The sequence below is a fragment of the Homo sapiens genome, chromosome 2 (assembly GCF_000001405.40).
Source record: "Homo sapiens chromosome 2, GRCh38.p14 Primary Assembly".
Taxonomy (NCBI): domain Eukaryota; kingdom Metazoa; phylum Chordata; class Mammalia; order Primates; family Hominidae; genus Homo; species Homo sapiens.
The window spans coordinates 57,040,757-57,049,723 of record NC_000002.12 but is presented as its reverse complement, the minus strand read 5'-3'; the positions used below and the strand labels follow the sequence as shown (position 1 = coordinate 57,049,723).

At 36.6% G+C, this 8,967-nt stretch overlaps 1 pseudogene; it reads left to right on the top strand.

Annotated features, from left to right (window-relative positions):
- On the top strand, positions 259 to 1,572 carry EIF2S2P7 (eukaryotic translation initiation factor 2 subunit 2 beta pseudogene 7; annotated as a pseudogene).
- The last annotated feature ends 7,395 nt before the right edge of the window (positions 1,573 to 8,967 follow it).

Here is an 8,967-nt window from a genome sequence, read left to right as displayed (position 1 = left end):
CTTATACACTATTGGTGGGAATGTATATTTGGCCCTCTAGAGAACAGTTTGGAGATTTCTCAAAGAACTAAAAATAGTATTACCATTGATCCAGCAATCTTACTACTGGTTATACTCCCAAAGGAAAATAAATTGTCCTACTGAAAAAAAAAAAAACCACCAGCACTTGTATGATTATTACAGCACTATTTACAATAGCAAAGATATGGAATCCACCCAGGTGCCCATCAATGGTGTACTGGATAAAGAAAATGCAGCCCTTTCACTGATGCAAGAGCCTAGTGTGGCAGTGGGAGAGATACCAATGGGAGCAGAGCTGCTGCCAAGGCCTGGGGCTGACCTGTCTGACTTCCCATTCGTGCCGAGCGCACTCAAACTACAGCCACATCTGGGGACAAGATGATTTTTGATCCTACTATGAGCAGGAAGAAAAAGAAGTCATTTATGTTAGATGAGGGTGGGGATACCTAAACAGAGGAAAGCTAACCCTCAAAAATAAAAGAAATGGAGCCAGAGCCAACTGAAGACAAAGATTTGGAAGCTGATGAAGAGGACAATAGGAAAAGAGATGCTTATGATGATCCAGATGACTTGATCTTCTTTAATCAAAAGAAAAAGAAGAGAAAAACAAAAAAGATACTTCATATTGATGGAGGTGAAGAAGATGTAAAGGTTCTTAAGACTGAAAGTGATATTTAAGAACCAGCTGAACCAGGGGATGACCTTGACATTATGTTTGTCGATAAAAAGAAGGAAAAGAGGAATTTCAGGTTCACAGATGAGAATAAATTACTAGAGAAAGATGAAGCCTAAAAGATAAAAGACAGCAAAAAAAGACGATGTTATCTCATTCAGTAATCAGACAGGCTCTATTTGGGCAAGCTTAGAAAGAGACTACACATATGAGAAGCTACTGAATAGAGTGTTCCACATCATGTAGGGACAATGCAGTTATGGTTTCTGGAGAGAAAAGGAAATTTGTCACAAAACCTCCTTATGTCGTCTGAGTAGGAACCAAGGAAACTTCTTTTGTCAACTTTACAGATTTCTATAAACAAACGTATTGTCTCCCCAGACACCTCCCTGCATTTTTGTTGGGTGAACTGGGTACAAATGGTTCTGTAGGTGGTAATAACCAACTTGTAATCAAAGGAAGATTACAAAAGAAACAGATAAAGATTGTCTTAGAAGACACATCAATGAATTCATTACTTGTCACACACGCCGAACATGGAACACAATCCTGTAGAAGCACATCCAACTCTACTTTTTACAAAGAGAAATGTGTCATTCTAGAGATTCTATTGCCAGCATCAAAATCAGCTTCCAGGTTGTCATGGGCAAGTGAACACAGCTCTGCGCCAAAGCTAACTAATTTGCTAATCACTGATTTTGCAAAGCATGCTGTGAAGATTTGCCTGGACAGGATTGCCATCAGAGTGGATATACCCTTGCACTAAAAACAAGATTAAAAAGGTGCCAAGTTCTTTGGTGAGTGGTTCGTTGGTCTGATATCCTTGCAAGATGCTGTTGTTCAAGCTGTTGACACACTTATTGCCTACTTGACAGCTGCCAGAAGAATGCAATACCGGATAAGGAAGTGCTTTTTAAAAATTGTTCATAGATTTCTGTAAAATACAAGATAAATTATTGTAACAGTGAAAAGAAAGAAAATGTGGTAGGTGTACACCATGGAATACTACGCAGCCATAAGAAACAACAAAGTGACATTATTTGCAGCAATATGGATGCAGCTGGAAGCCATTATCCTAAGTGAGTTAACGCAGAAACAGAAAACCAAATACTACATGTTCTTACTAAGTTGAAGTTAAACATTGAGTACACACAGGCACAAAGATGGGAACAATAAACACTGGGATTCCAAAAGTGGGGAAGTAGAGAGAAGGAAAAGAGTTGAAAAACTACTTATTGGATACCATGTTCATTACATGGGCAACAGAAACATGAGGAGCCCAAACCTTGGCATCATGCAATATATGTATATAACAAATCCGCACATGTATCCCGAGTCTAAAATTATAAATAAAAAGAAAAAATTTAAAAATTACACAAAAAATTATTTATATAAAATTTATTTATATTTGGGTAAAAATATAGCTAATTATTTTGTACTGCCTATGTGCCATAGTCTATACTAGTGATATTCATTAAAGGACAGTTTTATCCTCTGCGAAATTTTAATAATTTGGAGACTTTTTTTATCGTCATAATGGGGTGAGGTGTTACTGGCATTTAGTGCATAGAGGTCAAGATGCTGCTAAACCCAGGACAGCACCCCACAACAAAGGATTATACAAACAAAAATACCAATAGTGCCAATATTGAGAAGCCCTACTCTATACCAGGAAATTTATATGCATTAGATCATTTCTAAAGTCTTCCAGAATATAATGAGCTAAGGTTAATTGGTTATTTTGGTCAACCACAAGCCCTATTCTAGGAACGTATCAGCACTACATTGTGCACATAGTAGGCAAGTGAGAATCTAGAATTCAGAAGAATGGGTCATCATTTATGGTTAATCCTAATCTTTGTCTCAGCACACAGAAGATCTGTCAAACTCAGTGTGGGGATGGGACGCTTATTATAAATTCTCCAAGAAACAAAATTGATACCAAAGGCAAGAATACTCAAGGTCTGGGATCAATTATAAATTAAAAAGTCTGTTCTGGATTTCCATATATGAAAGGTTAGTTGAGAAGGAGAACCATGTACACTGAGTTACCATATCCAAAACTATGTCAACAAAACTAGGTAGCAGTGGCTTCAGACACAAAAGCACAAATCATAGCATAAAGCAAGAGGCAGATAGGTAATTAGAGAGGCCAGCAAATTTAGGCAGGATTAGGGGCTGGTTTATGGAAATTTCTGACCCTAGAAGCCAGTAGCCACTGTGCCTTTTTCTCCACAGCCTATAAAAATGCAAATTAACAATTGAAATATGAGAAAACCTAGAGACAAAACCCCTGAGTAATTGGAACACAGAAAGTACAAATAACATTGCAGTTGGAAAGAGGAAGCTGTGATGTTAAGCAGGATAATTCACCTCTGTAGCCCTCAGTCTCTTCCTCTGTAAAATGAGATAAGAGCAACTGGATTTATGAAGCCTTTCCACTAATTCTTCCTTTCCACTAACCTGTGATTCTTTCCAGGTTTGAAAGTATCTTGGGTACAGAAGAGACATCAAAGATAAAAGGAGTGTTGCTTAGAGAAATGATTCTGTGAAATCCCCTCTACCTTTTTATTCTCTTGATTTACACTGTTAAAACACTTTATAGCGATTATTTTTTATTTATTTACTTTTGTCACAATCACTCCTTTTTATGCAACTATAACGATTTGCACAGAAGGCTTTCATTCATGCCTTGTTCCTTTTATAAGTACAATCAGTGTTTGCCCTTAGAACACAGTGTGTTCTTTTCTTGTCTTGGGACACCACATAGACACTGTCCTTCTGAATATATGTCTCTCTTACCAACCCTTCTAAATTCATAGCCAGCCAGGGCACTTGCCCAATAGATTCAAACTCTGTGATTTTTAACCAAGCAAGTAAGTGAAAAAAATCTAATCTTTAGGTTCAGCAACTCAGAAAATCTGAACTAAAAATAGACACTTGATTTTAATACATTGAATCTACTCGTCATCCATGTCTCGTTTTTATTAGTTTTTCTTTTTGTAATATACAATCCTCTTTCCTTGCATTCTCCAAGATATTTTCAGTGGCGGAGACATGGAACCATCATAGGGTCACCATGCAGTTTCAGAATAATTTCGTAAGCAGGTATTTCCAAGAACTAAAACTCACCAGCCAGAGCAACCTGAGTTTACCTTTTCTGTCCTAAGGCGGTTATCCAACTGTTGTGTGCCCTGAGTATCCATGTGCCAAACATTTGTTGTCTTGTTTCCTAACATCTAATACATTTTTAAGGTCCATATGATGATATTTTGTGCTTGTTTCTTTAATTAAATCTTAGTTTTAAGAATCTTTCATATGTCCTGAACCCCTTCGCTAGGAACCACTGCATAGCTCTTATTTTTCTCCTCTGTTAAGTCTTGATTCTGTTTTCACCTCCAGTCAGCAGCTAAAGTCCAATCCCAAATCCCTTCGGCCACCTAAAATAATAGACTTCACTGTATTACTGTGGTGGTTCTGACATCACCACAGTATAAAATGTTGTTTGTGGTGTGTCTTAAGCCCCCACTACCCACAAAACCTCCTTAGGATATCAGTAGCTTGTTCCCCTTGAAGTCTGATTTGGATTGCTGGTCATACAACAAAGAACCCTCACCAACTATACAAGGTGCTTAATGGGATATCTATTCAGTGTTTTACTCTGAAAACTGCCCTTCTTCCACACAGAGACACAATTGTTCTATGAAATCTAAAGCCAAGGATTGACATACTTTTTCTGCAAAGGGCCAGCTACTGAATCTTTTAGTCTGTGTGGGTGATATCTTCTCTGTCATAACTCCTCAACTCTGTCATGGTAGTGTATAGTAGCCAGGGAAAATGTGTAAATATGTGCGGTTGTTTTCCAACAGATTGTTATTTATAAAAGGCAGCAGAAAGCTGGGTTTGGCCTGTGTGCAGTGCTTTGCTAGGCCCTCTCCCAAGCCTTCAATTAGTAGGAGACATGTGACGCAAGTTTGAATTCTTCCATGTATTTTGAACTGGGATACAGAGAATAGATGTAATTGCTCTTTGTCATTTGAACTCAAATGATACGGAAATGTGATTCCTAGGAAACACTTATCTAACATCTCCACAGAAAGATTTGTTTTGCAGAAGTGATAACAAAAGCTTAGATCAGACCTGCTCTCAGTAATGACCCGCTTAGCAAGGCTGGCTCACACCACATTCTTACCTGCTATGTTGCAGTACAGGACATATGTAGAAGGACTATGTGTTACTAAAACCTGTGCTTGTCAATCACAAGGTAGAATAAAAATGAATTCTACAGTGTAGAACTCAGATATATATATATTTTTTTCAGAGATACCTCATTCAGTATATATTAATCATTATTTTACTTTTTTATTTTGACTTTTCATTAATTTCCCCAAAACATGTATTATATTATTTGCCTATCAAGTTGTAGGCAACTAGAGGCAGGGATAAAGTGGTGAACCAACCATACGGTTCTGATTCATAAGGAGTTCACAGTCTACGTAAAAAGCAGCTTTTTAGAAAAGCAATTTTAGAACAACTACAATAACCATTTCCAGACTTACAAAGTAAATCACATATGGTCTAATATTTTCCTTCATACAACATTTATGTATTTGAGAAGTCTTTAAACATTTTTTAGAAACATTCTTTTTGGACGTTTAAGAGGTTTTCCATGTGACACACTACAAACAAGGTTGCTTTTATATGATTCAATGACATTCTGATAGGACGACAGTTAATTCTGCTAAGAACAGCATGTTAGAGATTAAAAAGAAAACCACTTGTTATATTTGCCAATAAGCTGTTTTACTTGCTATATGAGCATCCAATCAATACTGGATGAATCAGAACTTCTTATCCATACATATGTAAGTCTCTATATTTTTCTTCATGGATATTTAAAATATAATTCTGATGAAGGATGTGCCTTTAGATATTGACACTGGAATGATATTTTATTTCTCATCGTTTTCATCAACTTTGGCTTCAGTTTTTAGAAAGTATACACTTATCACAAGAAAACAGCTCTGGAGTTAACATACTATGCAAAGATAGTCCACCTGCCCAACAGAGAAAAATCAGTCAAACTTTTGTTGACACTGAAAAAAAAGTACTTTTCCACAGAGGCACTTTCCAATGTACCTCTCAAAGACATGCCTTATAACAATGCTACTCTGTTAGAAGTAAGATTTCAGGAAGAAAGTGTTTTCCTCTGGGACTGTGGTGCTTTCGCCATCTACTTAATAAGTGAATTTTGCTTCTTCACAAACTATCTCAAACTCAGTTAAGAAAAAGTACATTGAAACTGCTAATAAAAATGAGAAACAAAATATTTTATATGTAAAAAAATCATGAAATACTTTTATTTATGAATAAATAAAAATATCATGAAATATCATGATATTTCATGAAATACCAAGACCTAAGCTAAATGCTGTTTTTGTTGTTATTTCATTTTGTTATTAAGCTATTTTTCTTGTATATACTTAAGACATACAACATGATTTTTTTTTAACTTCCATGTTGGGTTCAGGGGTACATGTGCAGGTTGTTAGCTAGGTAAACTATTGTCATGGAGGTTTGATGTACAGATTGCTTCATCAGCAGGTTCCTAAGCCTAGTACCCAATAATTAGTTTTTCTGCTCTTCTCTATGCTCCCACCCTCAACCTTCTGGTAGGCCATGGTGTCCGTTCTCCTCTTTGTATCCATGTGTTCCGACCACTTAGCTCCCACGTATGAGTGAGAACATCAGTATTTTGGTTGTCTGTTCTTGTATGAGTTTGCTAAAAATAATGGCTTCTAGCTCCATCCACGTTCCTGCAAAGAACATGATCTTGTTCTTTTCTATAGCTTCATAGTATTCCATGGTGTATATGTACCACATTTTCTTTACAAGCCTTCTATTGATGGGCATTTAGAGTGATTACATGTCTTTGCTATTGTGAACAGTGCTGCTATGAATATATGCATGCTTCTGTCTTTATAACAGAATGATTTATATTCTGCTGGGTATATACCCAAGAATGGGATTGCTGAGTGGGATGGTAGTTCTGATTTTAGCTGTTTGAGGAATCACCACACAGCTTTTCACAACAGTTGAACTAATTTACATTCCTGCCAACAGTGTATACACACTCTTTTATCTGCAACCTCACCAGCATCTGTTATTTTTTTTATTTTTTCATAATAACCATTCTGACTGGTGTGAAATGATATTTCATTGTGGTTTTGATTTCCGTTTCACTAATGATCAGTGATACTGAACTTTTTTCATATGCTTGTTGGCTGCATCTGTGTCTTCTTTTGACAATTTTCTGTTTATGTCTGTGTCCACTTCTCAATGGGGTTGTTTAGTTTTTTCTTGTAAAATTGTTTAAGTTACTTATAAATGCTAGATATTACACCTTTGTCAGATTCATAGTTTGCAAATATTTTCTCCCATTTCTATAGGATGTTTACTCTTTTGATAGTTTATTTTGATATGTAGAAACTATTTAGTTTAATTAGTTTATATTTGTCAATTTTTGCTTTTGTTGCAATTGTTTTCGGTGTCTTAGTCATGAAATCTTTGCCAGGGCCTATGTCCAAAAAGGTATTGCCTAGGATGTCTTCCAGAGTTTTTTTTTAATATAGTTTTGGTTTTACATTTAAGTATTTAATCCATCACGAGTTGATTTTTATATATGGTGAAAGGAAGGGGTCCAGTTTCTGCTTTCTGTATATGGCTAGTCAGTTATCACTGCACCATTTAGTGAATAGGGAGTCCTGTCCCCACTGCTTGTTTGTGTCAGCTTTGTCAAAGATCAGATGGTTGTAGGTATGCAGCCTTATTTCCAGGCTGCCTTTTCGGTTCCATTTGTCTATGTGTCTGTTTCTGTACCAGTACCACGCTGTTCTGATTACTATAGCCCTGTAGTGCAATTTGAAGTTGGGCAGCATGATGCTTTCTGCCTTGTTCTTTTTACTTAGGACTGCCTGGACTATTCGGGCTCTTTGTTGGTTCCATATGAATATTAAAATAGTTTCTTCTAGTTCCATGAGGAATGTCAAAGAGGACTATTATGAACAATAGTATGCCAAAAACTTCAATAACCTGAAAGATAGGGTTAACATTCTAGAAACATACATTCTGAAGACTAAATCAAGAAGAAATAGAAAGCCTGAAAGATAAATAACAAATAAAGAGATTGAAGTGGGAATCAAAAACCTTCCAACAAGGAAAGCTCAGGGTCATATAAGTTCATGACTGAATTATATCAAACAACGAAATAAAAATTAATACCCATCTATCTTAAAATGTTCCAAAAAATAGAAGTAGAGGGAATATTTCCAAACTTTATTATATGAGGTGAGCATCACCCTTACATCAAAATCAGACAAAGACATCACAAGAAAAAAAAAAAAAACTACAAGGCCAATATATGTATATGCTTTCAAAAATAATTAAATACTAACAAGTTGAATTCAATAACACATCAAAAAAAATTATAGGCCATTTTGTTCCCAAAATGATGACATATAAGGCAGTTGGCTTTACTCCTCCCTGCACAGAAAATCAGACACAAATATACAGTGCTGAGATTATCAGCAATATCTCAGAACTCAAAGAACTCCAAGCAGATGGTAATGAATGGGACTTCCATACCCACAATGTCCCACCCCTCAATCTGCCCAGCATTAAGTGTGCAGAAAATTTATCTCTGACTCATGGTGTCTATACTGAAAACAGCAATAGTGATGTGGACAACCAGACTTCCCATCATCTGGGATTTCCTGGCAAGAAACCAGTTCCTCCCTCAACCGACAGGAAGCATCAGAAGAGCCTCAAGACAGAAATGTTCTAAAGAACAGCCAGTGACAAACGGGAGAGAGGAGACTACCATCCCCAGCCCTGGAAACTCTTCTCTATAACTTAGCCAAAGGAGATATCAAATCAGAGTAGCTGTTCAGTAGTACCATACTATAGAAGATATGTTCCACAGATCCTCTTCATATGAATCCATAACCAGCCTTCACACAACATTTGGATATCCACAAAAGGACCTCTCTCATTCATGACAAGCAGTACTCTGATCATTTACTAGAGCTGAGACAAACCTGGGCTTAAGGCAGCATTGAGTGCCAAAAAGAAGGTGACAACCTGGCAGAAAAATAAAAATGAATTCAAAAGGTAAATTACAAAGACTCTCTAAGCAAATATATTTGATAAAAACCTAAACAATCTGGACAGAGAACGCCTGTAATCCCAGCACTTCGGGAGGCCAAGGCAGGCGG